The sequence below is a fragment of the Homo sapiens genome, chromosome 4, assembly GCF_000001405.40.
Source record: "Homo sapiens chromosome 4, GRCh38.p14 Primary Assembly".
NCBI classification, from domain to species: domain Eukaryota; kingdom Metazoa; phylum Chordata; class Mammalia; order Primates; family Hominidae; genus Homo; species Homo sapiens.
This window is the reverse complement of record NC_000004.12, coordinates 68,288,608-68,309,107: the sequence shown is the minus strand read 5'-3', so window position 1 is coordinate 68,309,107 and position 20,500 is coordinate 68,288,608. Positions and strand designations below refer to the sequence as shown.

Genomic DNA, 20,500 nt, shown 5'->3' with positions numbered 1-20,500 from the left:
GCGGAGGTTGCAGTGAACTGAGATCACACCATTGCACTCCAGCTTGGGCAACAGAGCGAGACTCCATCTCAAAAAAAAAAAAAAAAAATGTACGTGAAGGAAAAATAGATAGCAGTACAATAATAGTTGGTGATCTTAGTACCCCGCCTTAAACACTGAATAGCTCAACTAAACAGAAAATTAAGCAAATACTGGGTTTGACCAAATGGACCTAACAGACATACAGAACTTTCCATCCAAGAACAGCAGAATATACATTTCTTTTCTAGTGCACATACCACATTATGTCTCAAAAAGCTAGAAAAAGAACTAAAGCCAAAGTTAGCAAAAGGAGGAAAATAATACAAATCAGTAAAACAGAGAACAAAAACACAGAAAAAAGCAAAAAAGTAATCTTTGAAAAAATAAGATCAGCAAAATACTAGCTAGACTATGACAAAAAGAGGAAAGACCCAAATAAATAAAACCAAACATGAAAATGGAGACATTACACCAGATGCCTCACAAGTAAAGTATTATAAGGCCTATTATAAATATATGCAACAAATTGGATAATCTAGAAAAAAATAGATAAATTCCTGGAAAAATATAACCTACCAAGATTGAGTCAGGAAGAAGTAGAAAACTTGAACCAATCCAACAAATCAGTTGAAGAAGTCATTAAAAACCTTCCAACCAAGAATAGCACAGGACCAGAAGGTTTCATGGCCAAATTGTACCAAATGTTCATAAAAGAATCTATCAATACTTCTTAAACTCGGTCAAAAAGTAGAAATAGAGGAGATACTTCCAAACATTTCATGGCATCAGAATCACTTTCATATCCAAGGCAGACAAAGACACTGTAAGAAAAGATAGCTATAGGGCAATATTTCTAATGAACATTGATACACTAATCTTTAATAAAATATTAGCAAACAACTAAACAACACATCAAAAAGAACATACATCATGACAAGTGAGATTTAACCCTGGCATGCAAGCCTGGTTTATCATATACAATCAATGTGACATGTGAATTATGAGAATGTTAAAAACCACATGTTCCTTTCAAATGATGCAGGAAAAGAAGTTAACAAAGTTCTGCATCTTTCCCAATAAAGACTTTCAAGTATAGAAGTAAAGTTTCTCAAAATAGTAAAAGTCATTTATAAAAAACACACACAGATAATATTACATCAGTGGGGAACGACTGAAAGTTTTTCCAGTAAGATCTGGTATCAGGGGAGGATTCTCACTCTAATCACTTCTATTCAACATTGTACTTGAAAGATTAGCAAGAGCAATTAAATAAGTAAAAGAAATAAAAGGCATCTAAATCAGAGGTAAAACTATCCCTATTTGCAGATGATATGATCCTATATGTTGAAAACCCTTAAAGATGCTTAAAAAACACTGTTGGAGTAAATCAGAAAAGTTGCAGGATACCAAATCAACATGGAAACAAAAGTAACATTTCTATAGACAGATAATCACCTAACTAAAAAAGGAATCAAGAAAACAATCCCATTTATAATAGCACCCAGAAAAACAATACATTTAACCAAGAAGGTAAAAGATTTGTACAAGGAAAACTATGAAATACAGATCAAAGAAATTGAAGACACAAATAAATGGAATGATATCTCTTATTTATTCATGGGATTAATATTTTTTAAATGTCCATACTACACAGTGCAATACATGGATTCAACACTATCTGTACCGAAAGTTTAATGGCATTTTTTACAGAAATAGAAACAAAAATTCTAAAATTTCTATGGAACCACACATACACAGACAGACACACACGCACAAACTGAAGAGCTAAAGAAATACTGAGAAAGATAAAGTTGGGGGCATCATACTTCCTGATTTAAAGTTATGTTACGAAGGTATAATAAACAGAATTACACTGGTAAAAAACAGAAACATGGACTAATGGAAGAGAATAGAGAGCAAAGAAATAAATGCAAACATACATGGTCAACTAAATTTCGACCAAGGCACCAAGTGGACGCAAAGGGGAAAGTATAGTCTCCAATAAATGGTGCTGGGAAAACTGTATTTCCACCTGCAAAAGAATGAAAAAGAACTCTTATCTCACACTATACATGTGAGATACACAACAAAAACCAGCTCAAAATGAATAAAACACCTAAATGTAAGACCTGAAGCCATAAAACTCCTAGAAGAAAACATAAGGGAAAATCTCTTCAACATTGGCCTTGGCAGTGATTTTCTGGATATCATACTAATAGTTCAGATTACAAAAGCAAAATATGTAAGTGGGATTACATCAAATTTAAATGCTTCTTCACATCAAAGGAAACAATCAACAAAATAAAAAGGCAGCCTACAGACTGGGAAAAATATTTGCAAATTGCATATCTGATAAGGGGTTAATACCCCAAATTTATAAAGAACTCTTACAACTCAATACCGAAAATACATGAATAACCCTATTAAAAATGGACAAAGGACCTGACCAGAAATTTCTCTAAAGAAAACAAAAATAGCCAATAGGCATATTAAAAATTGCTCAACATCACTAATCATCAGAGAAATACAAATGAAACCACTATGAGATATCATCTCACATCCGTAAGAATAGCTGTTATCAAAAAGACAAGAGACAAAAAATGCTGGTGAGAGTATGGAGAAAATAGTGAACCCTAGTTCGCTATCGGTAAGACTGCAGAATGGTGCAATCATTATGAAAAACTGTATGGAGTTTCCTAAAGAAATTAAAAATAGACTACCATATGACCCAGGAATCTCTCTTATGGGTATAAAACAAAAAATGAAAATCACCACTTTGTAAAGATAGCTGCACTCCCATGTTCACTGCAACAGTATTCACAATAGCAAAGATATGGAAACAACTTGTGTCCATTGACTGATGAGTGGATTTAAAAATGTGATATATATATGTGTGTGTGTGTGTGTGTGTGTGTGTAATATTATTCAGCCTTAAAAAGATGGAAATGTTAACACTTGCCACCACGCAGATGGACAGAGAGGACTTCATGCTATGATAAATAAGCCAGAGATAGAAATAAAAATATCGCATGATTTCCCTTACACATGGAATATGTATTTTTAAAAAGATCTCAGATACACAGAGAACAAAACAGTGGTTGCCACCAGCAGGGGTGGTGGGCAGTGAGAGGAAATGGGAAGATGTAGGTCAAAGCATACAAATTAGCAAATATGTAGAATGAGCAAGTTTAGAGATTTAATGTACAAGATGAGGACTGTGGTTAATAAAATTGTATAAGGGACTTTTACTAAGTAGATTTTAGCAGCTCTTGTCACACCAAGAAGCAACAATATGAGATACTGTATAACAATCTATAACATCAAAAACAAAGAATAAAAGGACAAGCTTCCTGACATCTATTCAAATCTTGCTTTCTCCAACTTGGTAACAATAGCTGATGATTGCCACTATACTGCTATTACCTTTCTCTGTGCCTTCCTTCTCCTCCTCCTCTTTTTCCCTCCTTGCCAACATTATCACTTTCCCTTTATATGCATGAAGAAATCTTTCAAGAATAGGAGTTAGTTTGTTAGAAATTCTACCAATCCTACCTCAGCTATTTTACCTTGTGAAAGTTACTGTATACAGCCTAAACAATTTGCAGTCAAAATGGACTTTGAGTCTTAACACTTGAATAAGATCTCACTTTTATATTGCTGCCAATAAGAACATAGACAAAAATAATATCTTAGATCATATAGTACATAAAGAATGCTTCCTTTCTGCTTATATCTTAAAAGTATGATATTAAGTTAGAATATGTTGACTCTTGTGTTCCTTCATAAGGAATATCATCCTATATACTGACAGAACTGATACAAGTGGTAGAAATTATTTGGTCTTTATTATACATGCACTGTACATTTTTCTATGCTTCTCTATCAAGCAGCTGTGATATAGCAAGACACATGTTCCCAAAATGAGCTTTACTGAGGTGTACTATTAGTCTGGGCATAAGGCAGAAAACACTTCCTCTCATAAGGTAAACCACCATTGTATTCTCTAATATGTAAAAGTTTGGGATCTTCAGAAAGAATAGGTTTAAAAAAGAAATACTGGAATAAAAGAAATTTTAAAAAAAGAAATACTGGAATAAAACTGGAATAAAAGAAAGTAAATCCTGCCAGAGCCACCACGGACAGCGACATGTTCAAGGTAATTCGGAGGTCCGTGAGGCCAACCAGCCTACGCTTGTTCACCTTCAAAGTCTATGCAGCACCAAAAAAGGACTCACCTCCTCAAAATCCCATGAAGGTTGATGAGCTTTCACTGTACTCAGTTCCCGAGGGTCAATCGAAGTGTGTGGAAGAGTCAAGGAGCCAGCTTGAAGTAGGCATCTCACAGTTCCGACGCTATTGTGAGCCACATAGAAATTTGTGTCAGGAAACGTACTCCCAAACTAAGCCTAAGATGCAAAGTTTGGTTCAGTGGGGATTAGACAGCTATGAGTATCTCTAAAATGCACCTCCTGGATTTTTTCCAAGACTTGGTGTTATTGGTTTTGCTGGCCTTAATGGACTCTTTTTGGCTAGAGGTTCAAAAATAAAGAAGCTAGTGTGTCCACCTGGTTTCATGGGATTAGCTGCCTCCACCTGTTATCCACAACAAGCCATCGTGTTTGCCAAGGTCAGTGGGGAGAGATTATATGACTGGGGTTTACACGGATATATAGTAATAGAAGATTTGTGGAAGGAGAACTTTTAAAAGCCAGGAAATGTGAAGAATTCACCTGGAACTAAGTAGAAAACTCCCTGCTCTACCCATTTTAATCAGATAGAGGTAAACACTGGAAACTCCATACAATAAATCACTATTTCTACAGAAAAATGGAGGATAAGTCAGTATTGAATGTATTAAAATGGCTTTCTTCTTCAGGAAAAAATACGTATATAATTAAAACCCAAGTTAAAAAAAGAAAGAAAGTAAATGTTAGTTCTGTCTGCAAATATAGTTGAAGTCATATACTTATATTTTTGAGGAATGGTGTTTCTTTAAAGCTAAAATACAGGTGAAAAGCCTCAACCTTTCCAATACAATTTTAGCATTTCCACTTGCTCATCTGATCCATACATTGACTTTTAAAGCAATCCACAGGATATCTGTTCTCTAGGACTTTGGTTGAGAATACAATGTTAATCTATTAGAAGACCAGTTTCTATAAAATGAGGAATAATATCTAAAGTGTCTGGCACAAATTAGTTAATAGTATTAGTAATATAAACAAAACAGCAATAATGGCAAGAGTCAATATTACTCTGGATCACTATGTACCAGAGATATTTCAAGTGTTTTATCTATGTTAACTATTTTTTCCCACACACAGAACACAATATGAGGTTGGCCTATTATTGTATGAGTAGGTGTAGTCATCTCTATAAACTTTTTTTTTTTTTTTTTTTTTTTTTTTTTTTTTTTTTTTTTTTTTTTTATTAAGACAAGGTCTCCATCCGTTGCCCAGGCTAGGATACAGTGGCATGATTACAGCTCACTGCAGCCTTGATCTTGTGGGCTGAAGTGATTCTCCTGCCACAGCCTCCCGTGTAGCTAGGATGACAGGCATGTGCCACCATACCCAGCTAACTTTTAAACATTTTTTTTCTAGAAACAAGGGCTCACTTTTTTGCCCATGATGGTCTCGAACTCCTGGGCTCAAGCCCTCCTCCTGCCTCCACCTCCCAAAGTGCTGGAATTATAGATGTAAGCCATTGCGTCTTGCCTCTATGAACATTCTAATCTAGTTTTCTGTCACCTGTTGCCTGAACTCTTGTAAGAACATTCTTACAAAAGTTCCCTTTAGAGTGATTCCCCTTTCTATAGTCTTGCCCCTCTACAATCAACCCAGTGACTAAAGCTTGAGATTTTTTTTAAAAAGGAAATCTGATAATATTCCTTTTTTGTTTAACTCTTTTCACTGTCTTCCCCATCCCCTTAACATATGTTCAAACTCCTATAATTATCTGGCTCTATACTACCTCACCAGCATCATCTGCTTCATTACTCAGCCTCTTCCTGCAGAACTAAACTTAGGGTCTTTGGGAACTGTCCTTACTTCTCTATCTGCTTTTCTTTATGTTTCTTCCTCTCCCTCTCATCCCTTCACCTGTCCCTCCACCTTGTTTAGGGCTTACCTTAATTGTTAATGACGTGGAGATACTGTCTGTAATCTCTAAATGCTTCGTTAGCACTGTGGTCTTTCCTTAAGATGACACTTTTCACCCAATTTTTATTACTTGCTTATATTTTATCTTTCACAACAGAAGATAAGATGTATAGGGGGCAGAAGTTATGTCTACTTCATTTCTTTGCAAATCTGGCACTTCTGGTATATTTTAGTCACTATATTCTTTAAATGAATAATTGATTCTTATGTGTTGAATAATAACACCTTAAGTTAACTGACTATACTCTCAAAGTCTCCCAGGTATCTCAGGTTATTCTGTAATGGTAATGAAATTCACATACTTGTGATGGTACAGAAAAGAAATATATCAGTTTCTAATTGGCAGGTCACTTTCCTCACTTGTCATATCTGTCTTACCATGAGACAAACACTCTGAACGAAGAATACAGTCATTCCCCCTGAAAATGCAAAACAAAAAGAATAAAACAACTAGGAATAGGTTTACCTTAGGCAGGGGGTTGACAGGTTTGCAGTAGAGTCTTACAACAAATTCAAAATTAGGTAAGAGTGGGCGAGGAAATTCCAAATACCAGTAGTTTCGAATGAGCCACATTTCAGCTTTTCCCATTATCTCAGATAATTGTAGTGCATTTTCCTGAAGGGGGGGGAAAGGCAAAAGAAATAAAATTGTCATGTGAATATGCCAGGTAATTTTCTAAAATTATTTGAAATAATGTAGCCAAAATTTTTTATGACTTGCTAAAGCAAATATAAATGTGCATATTTATACATAATTTATATATTTTATAGATGTTGTTCATACATATGTAAGTAAAGTGGGTAGACTCTAATGTCACATTGGTATATACACAATCATGAATGATTATTAAAACGAGTCACTGTAGAATTAAACATAGATTTGTTTTCTCTCTAAAATACAAAAGTAACCATTATAAATTTAAAAACTCTTTGAAATCCACCATCACTTAATTCTACCATAGCCATAGCCATGTTTTTCAAGAGTATTCAGTCTAGTTTCTACAATTTAGGAAGCAATTTATTTCCTTAATCTTTGATTCTCCAAATGAATTGTAAGGTTTTGGGGTTTCTAGTAGCTACTACTGTATTTGATTCATAATAGGTGACTAATAATTTTAGTTTATTAATAATATTGATATTGAAAGTAACAGCTGGAAAATTTTTACAAATTATTAAAATAGTGATTTGTGCTCAGCCTTATTTAGATTCATATTTTCTTTAATGGAAAGATATAGTTTTAAAAATATAAACTAATAATTACATGTTCACTCTTCAACAAGATTTTAGGCCTTAAAATATATGACTTGTAAGCAGTTGTTGAAGGAATGTGGAAGTCTGAGAGACCTCAAATTATATAGCTTTTTGCATCTGGGACAGACACTATTCACTCAAATATGAAGAAATCCTCATAGTAATAGTAATATGGAAAAATGTTTTAATTTTTTAAATTAGGAAACTAAGCTACATAAGGGAAACAATGTCCTAATGCTACATAAATAGTTGTAGAAATGTATATGTAATCTACATGTCTGCTCTCATCAAGACATTTATTGAAATTTCTAATGACTATTTTAAGGACAAAATAAAAGCATTGTAAGATGGATATGTAATTGCTTAGAGAAATCCTCAGTGGTTCAATTTGCAGGATTATGACTTACTGGAGCATCCTGTACAATTGATGGTCCCAGAGTTCTAACTTACTAATGTCAGGCTTTCCATAGTATTTGTGAGATTGATTGATCATCTTATATTTTCACTTCATCATTTCATTTACAAAAAACACACTCCTCTGATTTTATACTCATGCAAACTCACCTCTAAAGGCACAGGGAAAGTTAGGACTTAATAACCACCAATTAAAAACATGACTTACCTAGAACTTCACTGTAAAACTGGTCTCACTTCTTCATATCAAATGTTTGGAACCAAAAGTCAAAATAAAACACATATATAATATTTCTTACTGTCTCCATGAATGTCATCGAACCACTTAATTCTGACAGAATAACAGCTCCATAGGAAGGTGGAAGTAGAAATCCTCCACTGTATTTCTCAAATGTGTAGCCAGGAGAGAAGTGGAGACTGTACACAAAGGATATTTTTAATAGCTCAGCCAGCAGCTCTCCAAAGGGACCAATGGCATTTGCATGAACGACATCAGACCTTGATTCTTGTAGGTTTGTCATAAGTTTCTTGTTCAAAACTACATCTTTAAAGAACTTCTCAGTATAACCAGAATATTCCCAAAGAATATTCTTGCATTAATGAAAAATATGTTCAAAATATATGTTTTGGAAGATCATGTATCCATTTAGTAATCTGTTGTGTGAAAAAAAACCCTGCAAAATCATCTTTAATTACAGATATAGAATAAACCTCAAATTTAGTAACAGATGTTATGTTGGGATCAACAAGAATGGAAGCTGACAATGTTAGAACAGTCACCTCATGACTTATCTGCATAAGTTTATCCAGGATTGTCTTTATATTCATCCAAGGACTATATTCCATGGGCCACAGCGGCACATTTCCACAACTCCCAGAGCTAGAGTAATAGCTCAGCTGTATCAACAGAAGGACTGAAGTCCATTTCATAGCCATCTTGATAAAATACAATGCTTCTTTTTAAATTGTTGTTCCCTCTGCCATTCTTACGTTTTGTTTTTATGCAATGATAAATCAATCCGGAAGTTAAAATATAACTCTTACACCTCGAAGTAAATACATTATATAAGTAGTCTGAACATGTCAATGGCAAATAGAAAAACAAAAGGTAGATGACCCTGTGTTTACACAAATGTATTTAATGTCTCTTTTATGTTTTTAAGTGCTTTCATCTAGCTAAGATCAATGATTTTGCATGAACAAGTCGTCGCATTTATGTGATGTATTTTAGTATACTGCCAAAAGTAGTGGCAATAGAGAGGCTCTTTTGTCTTCAGTCTCCTTGACACAGAACTAGAGATAAAATAATTATATGGATGAATCAGCATTTTTTAGAGTTATTTTTATAAAAACACTTTAGTCATGACTTTTTGACGTATAATTCACATGCTATGCAATTCACCAATCTAATGTGTATATATTAGTCTGTTCCCATGCTGCTAGTAAAGACATATCCAAGACTGGGTAGTTTACAAAGGAAAGAGGTTTAATTGACTCACAGTTCCACATGGCTGGGGAGGCCTCACAACCGTGGTGACAGGCAAGACAGAGAGCTTGTGCAGGGGAACTCCCATTTATAAAACCATCAGATCTCATGTTTCTTATTCACTACCACAAGAACAGTATGGAGGAAACTGGAGGAAACGACCCACATGATTCAATTATCTCCACCTGGCACCACCCTTGAAATGTGAGGATTATTACAACTCAAGGTGAGATTTGGGTGGGGACACAGTCAAACCATATCAGTGTACAATTGAATGTCTCATTGTATATTAACAGACTTGTAAAATCAGAAAATAATTTTAGAACAGGTTCATCTCCCAAAAAGAAGTACTTTACCATTAGCTGTCAACCTCCACCCTATGCAATTTCTGCATATCCAGAGTTCTAGGCAACCACACACTAATGTACTATCTCTCTATGGGTTTTCCTTTTCTCGATATTTCATACTAATGAAATCATACAATACGTGGTCTTTTGTGGTTGGCTTTCACTTTTCATAATATTTTAAAGACTCATTCATGTTAAAGTATCAAGATTTCATTCATGTTTATTTCCAAATAATGTTATATACTATGGATATACTACATTTTGTTTATTATTCATCAGTTAATGGACATTTGAGTTTTTTCCAGTTTTTGGCTATCATGAATAATGTTATTTATTAATGTTCATGTACAAGTTTTGTGTAGACATGTTTTCATTTCTCTTGGGTATATACCTAGAGATGGAATTGCTGGGTTACATATTAGCTTTATGTTTAACTTTCGAAGAATTACTAGACTGTTTTCCAAAGTGGCCATACCATTTTCCAGTCTCATTAGCAATGTATGAGGATTCCAATTCCTCCACATCCTTGACAACACGTGTTATTAATTGTCAACACAAACAACATTTGTTTACTAGGCTCTTTCCCTATTGAACTGCTTTGGCACTCTTGTCAAATATCAGTTGACCATTAACATATGGTATATTTCAGGATTCTAAAACCTATTCGATCAATCTATACATCTATCTGTATGCCTATGCCACATTTTCTTTATTACTGTAGATTTACAGTTGGCTTCAAAATCAGTAAGTACAAGTCCCCCAACTTTGTTCTTTTTAAGAGCGTTTTGCTATTTTTAGGTCCTTTAAATATCTAATATAAATTTTAGGATCATCTTGTCAATTTATGCTATGAAGTCAGCTGTGGTTTTTATAAGGATTGCATTGAATTTATATATCATTTGGGGCAGTATTGTCATTAATAAAATATTAAGTGTTTCAGTTCAGGAAACAAGATGTGTTTCCAATTAGATGTGTCACAAACAAATGGAAAAACATTCTATGCTCATGGATAGGAAAAAATAATATTGTTAAAATGGTCATATTACCCAAAGCAATTTACAGATTCAATGCTATTCCTATCAAAGCACCAATGACATTTTTTACAGAATTAGAAAAAAAATTCTAATGTTCCTTTGGAACCGAAAAAAGCCCAAATAGAAATAAAGCTGCACACCTAAAACTATCTAAGTTTTGGCAACACTGACAAAAACAGTGCTGGGATAACTGGCTAGTTATATGTAGAAGATTAAAACTGGACACCTACCTTTCACCATATACAAAAATTGACTCAAGATGGATTAAAGACTTAAGTGTAAAACCTAAAATTAAAACTCTTGAAGAAAACCTAGGAAATACCATTATGGATGTAGGCCCTGGGAAAGACTTCAAGACAAAGACTCCAAAAGCAATTGCAACAAAAACAAAAATTGACAATGGGACCAAATTAAACTAAAGAGCTTCTGCACAGCAAAAGAAACTATCAACAGAGTAAACAGACAACCAACAGAATGGAAGAAAATATTTGCAAACTAAGCATCTGACAAAGGTTTAATATCCAGAATCTATAAGGACCTTAAACAAATTAACAAAAAACAACTCCCTTACAAAATGGGCAAAGGACATGAACACACACTTCTCAAAAGAAGAAATATATGTGGCCAAGAAGCACATAAAAATGCTCAGTATCACTAATCATTATGAAAATGCAAATCAAAACCATAATAAGAGACCATCTCACACGAGTCAGAATGACTATTATAAAAAGTCAAAAAATAAGAGATGCTGGGGAGATTGCAGAGAAAAGGGAGCGCTTATACACTGTGGTGGGAATGTAAATCATTTCAGCCACTGTGGAAAGCATTCTGAAGATTTCTCAAAGAACTGAAAATAGAACTACCATTCAACCCAGCAATCTCACTGGGCACATACCCAAAGAAATATAATTAGTAAACTGTAAAGACACATGCACATGTATGTTCATCGCAGCACTATTCACAACAGCAAAGACGTAGAATCAACCTAGATGCCCATCAGTGGTGTACTGGATAAAGAAAATGCAGTAAATATACACTATGGAATACTATGCAGCCATAAAAAAGAATGAGATCACATCCTTTGCAGCAACATGGATGGAGCTAAAGGCCATTATCCTAAGCAAATTAACGCAGAAGCAAAAATCAAATACTGCATGTTCTCACTTGTAAGTGGGAACTAAATATTGAATACACATGGGCACAAAGAAGGGAACAATAGACACTGCAGCCTATTTGAGGGTGGAAGGCGGGAGGAGGGTGAGGATCAAAAACCGATCTATTGGGTACTATGCACATTACCCGAGTGACAAAATTATCTGTACACCAAACCACCGCAACACACAATTTACCCATGTAACAAACCTGAGCATGTAAAGCTTGAACCTAAAATAAAAGTTGAAAAGAAAAAAAAAGTTTAGGGGTGCTCCTCCTATGGAGTAGCCATTCTTTATTCCCTTACTTTCATAATACATTTGTTTTCACTTACTCTGTGCACTCGCCCCAAATTCTTTCTTGTGTGAGAGCCAAGAACTTTCTCTTGGGGTTTGGGTCAGGACCCTTTTCTGGCAAACCATGAAGATACCATACTGAGGAGACCCCCCAACTCAAAGGAAATAGACTGCAGCACTGATTGGCCGACTTTGAATAAATGGGGTGCATTTACCCAGGTAGAGGATGCGACTGGGTTAGAGGCCCAACTTAGGGTTGTTAGAGTTTCTCCTAAGACAGAAAGGGTTAAAGACCCCGCTTAATAAAAGGCAAGGATGTTTGACCGAACTTGGGTTTGAGGCCCAAGTTGGGAAGGTTAGAGTCCTTCCTAAGATTTAGAGATATAGAGCCCTCTCTCTCGGTAAAGTCCCTCTTGGCTAAGAACAGGTTTGGCACTATGGGATGTTAACCACTATTCTGTTTGGATTAATCTGTATTGTACTCTTTGCTGATTGCTATGGGTGACAGGATTAGGTATGTGCAGGATCAAAAGACATGGGGAGGTTTTTCTCCCTAAAAGTGGAAAATTCAGAGCTGATGGGACTGCTGGAAAAGATCCCTTCCCTACTGACAAGAGGCTGCCTGAACTTTCGATTCAGTGACACTGCTCTGAGTGGGTCTTTGGCCTCCCTGAGTGCCTCACCTTCCCCACCCTGCCATAGCCAATGTTTTTCTCCCTTTCTTTTTTTTATTTTTTCTGTTACTGTGGGCAACAGTCTGCCACTTCATCTTGTCCAGAGACCACATGTTGAAAATGTCCTTGGGAGCTTGACTTTGTAGCCACATGGCGATACTTTCTCTTCATCTCTGCCTTCCAGGGAACAGTAATTTTGGGGTTCATGTCATAGTTAGCCCTAAAAACTATCTTGTGCAATTAAAAGCCATTGCAAGCTCAAAATTTGTTGCTATAGGCTCCTTCTGGGAAGGACAATGGAAACCATCCAATGCTGTAGTCAGCAGCTAAGGCTTTGTCTTTTCATAGCGGTGGCCGGGGTTCAGGGTTCAATTCCTGGCTTAGGGAATGAGTACTTTCTGGGTTGCTATCTGTGTGACCTTTACTATTCATTAATTCTCTTTCCCTCCATGACCCATCTTGAATTTTTTTTCTCTGAGCACCTAGGAGGTTACTTTTGGTAAAATTTAAAAGCCAGAAATATTGGTGATTTGGCATGGCTAACATCTGGTAATCAGAGATTTAAAAGGACTAAAAGTCAGCTTATTCCAGTTCTAATAGCCTGGGACTCCTTGGGAAAAACGGAGGAGGAATCAAAGACCCTCTTTTGGAGAAAATCTGTTTTTTCCTCATGAAACCCCAGGAATTAGAAGTGGATAGATTCCTTTCAAAATTTAAGGCTCTGTTCTCTTTACATTGCGTTATTTGACAGTTTTGACTTTTGAGGGTATCAGAAATTACTTCACATTATGAGAGAGCTTTGGTGTTTTATAACTAGGTAGGAAATACCCTTTTGGGAAAAGGAAATAGCTGTTATATGAGAATACATGGCTCTTTGCACGTTTAAATCAGAGAAGCATGCTCTTGGCCACCTAGAAGACATGGAAATGTCATCGCCCCACACTGAGAGATAAGACTCTTATGGGAGATGGACTGATTCCCTCTTTTGGGGATCCAGGTTTTAGTATAAAAATAGGACCCTTAATTTTGGGGGATCTGTTTGTCTTCCAGCTGTGCCTGCTTATTAGGTCCTAGAAACTGCATTCTTTAAAGAGAAACTTACAAACTGGCAAATGATAAATCTTACAATTACTAGATCTTTTTTGTCTGTCTGTATACTTCTATGTGTTGTGTGTGTGATATTTATTATTTCTAAGTAGGGAAAGAGAAAACAATTTTCTTATTACTATATAGACAGTTGTGCTAGAAATATGTTTGTAAGTCAACGTATGCATCTATGTTCATTTAGAGATAAAACTAAAACTATAATTAAATGAATCTGTAATTTCCGAAAGAAATCCTAGGTGCTTCAATTTGCAGAGTTATGATTTCTTAGAGTGTCTTGTATGAGTGATGGCCACAGGGTTCTAACTGACCCTATAATGTAAGCCCCTTCAGAATATTTATCAGATTGATAGATCATTTTATATTTTCATTTCCTTATTTACCTATAAAAGAAAACTTTCTTTGATTTTTGGCCGGGCGCAGTGGCTCACGCCTGTAATCCCAGCACTTTGGGAGGCCAAGGTCAGCGGATCACGACGTCAGGAGATCGAGACCATCCTGGCTAACACGGTGAAACCCCATCTCTACTAAAAATACAAAAAAAATTAGCCGGGCGTGGTGGCGGGCGCCTGTAGTCCCAGCTACTTGGGAGGCTGAGGCAGGAGAATGGCGTGAACCCGGGAGGCGGAGCTTGCAGTGAGCTGAGATCACGCCACTGCACTCCAGCCTGGGTGACAGAGCGAGACTCTTGCCTCAAAAAAAAAAAAAAAAAAGGAAACTTTCTTTGATTTTATATTCATATAAGCTCACCTTCAAATGCACAAAGAAAGTTGAATGTTTATGCTACCGTATAAAAACAGCGTACCTAATATTTCTCTGTAAAACTGATCTCATTTCTTTTCATAAAACGTTTGGAACCAAAAGTCAAAATAAAGCACATATATCATATTTTTACCTTCTCCATAAATTTCATTCTACCACTTAATTCAGATATAACAACGGATATATAGGAAGGAAGGAATCAAAGTCCTCACCTATATTTTTTCAATGTATAGCCAAGAGAGAAGCAGAGACTATACACAAAGGACATTTCAAGTATCTCAGACAGCAACTCACCACAGGGACCACTGGCATCTCCAAGAAGGACATTGTCTTAGTCCATTTGCACTGCTATAACAAAATACCTGAGAGTGGATAATTTATAAAGAACCGAAATTTGCTTCACACAGTACTGGAGGCTGGAAAGTTCAAGATCAAGGGGCTAGTAGATTCATTGTCTGGTGAGGGTCTCTCTGGTCTCTGCTTCCAAGATGGCTCCTGGAACACTGAGTCTTCTGGAAGTGAGGAATGCTGTGTCCTCTCTTGGCAGAAGGCATAAAGACATAAAGGCAAAAAGGGGCAAACTGTCACTGTCAAGTTCTGTTATAAGGGCACCTAGTCCCATTCACAAGGGAGAAGCCCTCATGGCCTAATCTCCTCTTAAAAGGTCTACCTCAATACTGTCACATTGGCAACATTTGAATTTTGAAATGGAAATTCAACATTTTGAATTTTGAAGGGAACACATTTAAACCATAGTAATGTCAAACTTTGATTTTTGTAGTTTGTCATAAGTTTCTTGTTCAGAACTACATCTCTATAGAACTTTTCAAAGTAATCAGAACTTTCGCCCCAGAACATTTTTGCAGTAATGGAAAATATGCTCAATGTGTGTCTTTTGGCAAATTATACACCCATTTCCTGACTCATTTGGTAAAAAAAAAAAAAATTCCAGTTCAACTCTAGTATAAGATGTAGAAAAAATTTCAAATTTAATAATAGTTTATCGAGATCAAGGGTAATGAAATATGAAGGTGTCAGAACCTCATGAACTATCCTCATGAACTATCCAAACAAGTTCATTCAGTAGTGTCTTTAAATTGCTCCATTGATTATATTTCATTGGCCACAACAGCATTTTTCCATAACTTTCAAACCTAAAGTAATAATTCGACCCACTTCTTCATTGTGTTGTTTTCTTCTTGAATGTTAAATTTTCTTTACATTTTCTTGATAAAAGTAACTTATCAGATATATGGTTTGTAAATATATTCTCCAATTTTGTGGCTCGTCATTTCACTTTCTTGATGGTATTCTTTGATGCACATAAGTTTTAATTTTTATGAAGTCCAATTCGTTCATTTTAATTTGGTTGTTTCTCCTTTTGGTGTCATATCTAAGAAACAATTGCCAAATTAAATGTTACAAATATTTATCTTTTTTTATATTTAGAGTTTTATAGTTATAGCTCTTACATGTAGGTTTTTATTTATTTTCAATTAATTATTGTATATGGTTTGAAGAAAGGGATCCAATTTCATTCTTTTGATGGGGCAAATCTGTTTTCCCACCAACATTTTTAAAGAGGCTGTACTTTCTTTATTGTATAGTTCTGACATTCTTGTCAAAAATTAATTGACCATAATATATGGCTGTACAGTTGATCCTTGAACAATGTGGGGCTTAAGGGCACTGATCTCCCAGGAAGTCAATAATTTGCATATAACTTTGACTCCCTAAAACATAACTAATAGCCTGATGTTGACCAGAAGCCTTTCCAATAACATAAAAATTTGGTTAAAATATATTTTTTATGTTATATGTTATTACTGTATTCTTATAATAAACTAGAGGAAAATGTTATTAAGAAAATTATTGATATGTCTTGACTGTGTTCCCACTCAAATCTCATCTTGAATTGTAGCTCCCATAATCCCCACATGTTGTGGGAGGGACCCAGCAGGAGGTAATTTAATCATGGGGGTGGGTTTTTCCTGTGCTGTTCTTGTGATGGTAAGTCTCACAAGATCTGATGCTTTTATAAAGGGCAGTTCCCCTGCACATACTGTCTTGTCTGCTGCCATGTAAGATGTGCTTTTGCTTCTCCTTCATTTCCACCATGATGGTGAGGCCTCCCCAACCATGTGGATCTGTGAGTCCATTAAAACACTTTTTCTTTATAAATGACCCAGTCTTGGTATGTCTTTATTAGCAGCATGAGAATGGACTAATACAGTAAATTGGTACCAGAAATAGGATGGGATCCCCCACACAGAGTCCCCACTGGGGCACTGCCTAGTGGTGCTGTGAAAGCAGCAGGGAAGGGGGCTGTACCCCACAAAGCCACAGCAGCAGACTTGCCCAAGACCATAGGAACCCACCTCTCACATCAGCATGACCTGGATGTGAGACATGGAGTCAAAGAAGATCATCTTGGAGCTTTAAGATTTGACTGCCCCCCTGGATTTCAGACTTGCATGGGGCCTATAGCCCCTTCATTTTGGCCATTTTTTGCCATTTAGAATGGGTGTATTTACCCAATGCCTGTACCCCCATTGTATCTAGGAAGTAACTAACTTGCTTTTGATTTTATGGGCTAATAAATGGAAGGGACTTGCCTTGTCTCAGATTAGACTTTGGACTTGGACTTTTGAGTTAATGCTGGAATGAGTTAAGACTTTGGGGGGCTGTTGGGAAGGCATGATTGGTTTTGAAATGTGAGGATATGAGATTTGGGAGGGGCCAGGGGCAGAAAGATATGGTTTGGCTGTGTCCCCATCCAAATCTCATCTTGAATTACAGCACCCATAATCCCCATGTGTTGTGGAAGGGACTCAGTGGGAGGTAACTGAATCATGGAGGTGGGTTTTTCCTGTGTTGCTCTCATGATAGTGAATAGGTCTCATGAGATTTGATGGTTTTATAAAGGGCAGTTCCCCTGCACATGCTGTTTTGCCTGCTGCCGTGTAAAACATGCCTTTGCTTCTCCTTCACCTTTCACCATGATTGTGAGGCTTCCCCAGCCATGTGGAACTGTGAGTCCATTAAACCTCCTTTTCTTTATAATTACACAGTCTTGGGTATGTCTTTATTAGCAGTATGACAACAGACTAACACAATTATAAAAAGGAAAAAATATTTACTATTTATTAAGTGGAAGTAAATTATAATAAAGATCTTTATTATCATTTTTGTGTTGAGTTGGCTGAGGATGATGAGGAGGAAGGGGTTAGTCTTGATGTCTCAGGGGTAGTAGAAGTGAAAGGAAAACTGTGTGTAAGTGGACCTGCACAGTTCAAACCCATATTCTTCCAATAATTCTTCTGGATTTAAAAATCAATTCTGTTGATGCCTGTACCACACTTTCTTGATTACTACAGATTTGCAAATTATTATTGTTTGGATTGTCTGTTTCTCCATTTCTGTATGGTTTTTCCTCCTGTATTTTGAACTCTGTTAATAGATGCACATATACTTATTATTGTTATGTGTTCCTGATGGATTTATACTGTAACAATTGTAAAATGTCCTTCTTCACCTCTACTAACATTTTTGGTTAGAAATCTACCTGCCTGAAATAAGTATAGCCACCTCAGCTTTATTATGTTTGCTGTTTCCTTGTATATCTCCTTCCATCCTTTTATATTAACCTATTTGTATATGTGAATTTCTAGTGTGTCCTATTATGTAGCATATGGTTGGATTTAAAGAAAATATGGTCTGTAATATATGCCTTTTGACTAGATTTTTAAAATCCATTTACATGTGGTGTTTTTATTATGATTAAATTTACGTTTGCTGTTTACTGTTGTCATATATATACATTTAATTTTTTCTTCTTTTTAAATATATATTTCTTTGCACTAAGTGAACATGTTCCATTTTACTATTTTTCATCGTTATTTCCTTAGTGATTGCTCTAGGGCTTACCAGATATATATGGTAAATTATCAGAATCAACTTCAGATTTATACTGACTTAAATCTCTGTCCTCTGTAGAGACATTATTCACATATAGTTCCAGTCTCTTCCCATTTTTGTGATATTAGTATTACTTTTATGAGTAAATACTAGGTATATATATTTATGGGGTATATGAGATATTTTGATACAGGCATACAATGTATAATTATCACATTAAATTAAATGGGATATCTATCCCCTTAAGCATTTATCATTTCTTTGTGTTACATGTGGTATTATTGTTATAGATATTGCATCTATGTATGTTACCAACACAACATTACATTGTTTTTATGACACTATATAATTGTATGTCTTTTTAGAAATGGAAACAATTTGGAGAGCAAGTATATATTTTTATCTTTGATTATACTAATCATATTATTTACCATTATTGGTTCTCTTTAGTGAAAGGTGAAAGATTTATACAATCTGAAGATAAATCAGAATATTATTGGTTCTCATTATTCGTTCCTGTGGATTCAGGTTGCTATTTGTTGCCATTTCTTACTCTAACAAAGCTTTGCTCCCAATCATCTCTTTTGTGCTGTTATTGACAGACATGTATATTTATAGGTGATATGCCCAACGATATGACTGTATGTATACATGCTCTATATACTTCCTTCTGAAGTTTGTTCAAAGAAAAAAGGAGAAGAAATGTAGATTTATACTATCTTTTATAATTGTATAATGACCTTTATTGGTGCTCTTTCCTTTATTGTGTGGATTAGGCTTGCTTAATTGGTTTCAATCTGAAGAGCTTCTTTTAGTGTTTCTTATAAGACAGGTTTGCTAGCAACAAGTTGTCTGTTTTTGTTGGCTTGGGAATGTATTTTTTTTTTATTTTTTATTTCCTTCAGTTTTGGAAAATAGTTTTGTGGTAGATAAAGTTCTAGGTTGAATTTTTTCTTTCATTAGTTTGAATATGACATGCTAGTGCCTTATGGGTTCTATAGTTTCTGATGATAAGTCAGCTATTCATGATTTTGGAGTGCCCTTGAACGTCATGAGCTGTTTCTCTCTTGTTTCTTTGCCATCTTCTGTCTTTACCCTCAGTCTTTCTCTATGATGTTTCTGTGATTGGATCTCTGTGTTTATCTTACTTGAAATTTGTTGTATTTCTGGCCTTTGTAAATTAATGTCTCATCATATTTGAAGAGTCTTTAGGCACTATTTTTGTAAGTTTTTTTCTGTTCCCTTCTCTTCTTTTTTTTCCTTTTCTATTACTTTCACTTTGTGTATGTTGAAATGCTTAAGATTGTCGCAAAATTCTGTAAGACTGTCTTCGTTTTTCTTTATTTTCTATCTTCTGTTCTTTGGGTTACACAATGTCTACTGACCTACCTTCAAGTTGGCTGGCTCTGTCTTCTGCTATCTCATATCTACTGTTGAGTTCTTGTAAATTTTTTTTAATTTCAGTTATTGCAGTTTTCAACTCCAATATTTCCATTTGCTTCTTTTTAAAAAATATAATTACTATCACTTTCCATATATCTTCTATTGGATACTGCATTGTTACTATACCTGCTTTTCCTCTTTAGTATTACTTCTTTTAGGTCTCTGAACATATTTATAATGATTATTTTGAAGGTTTTGCCTATTAAATCCAACACCTTGTCTCTTAAACAGGCAGGTTCTGTTGCCTGCTTTTGCCTCACGTGGGAATCATACTCTCCTGATTTCTTTTCAGCATGTCATTTAAATTTGTGTTAAAAACTCTACATGTTTGATAATAGATTGTAGCAACTGTAGATATTAGATATCCTCTTTCTGTGTATTTTAATCTGTGGCTGATGACTAGATGGACTATTTTAGCGAAGCCTCTTTCCTTTGCA

At 35.4% G+C, this 20,500-nt stretch overlaps 2 pseudogenes; one reads left to right on the top strand and one right to left on the bottom strand.

Annotated features, from left to right (window-relative positions):
- APOOP4 (apolipoprotein O pseudogene 4) lies at window positions 4,142–4,906 on the top strand (annotated as a pseudogene).
- LOC100422188 (UDP glucuronosyltransferase family 2 member B11 pseudogene) lies at window positions 6,649–8,786 on the bottom strand (annotated as a pseudogene).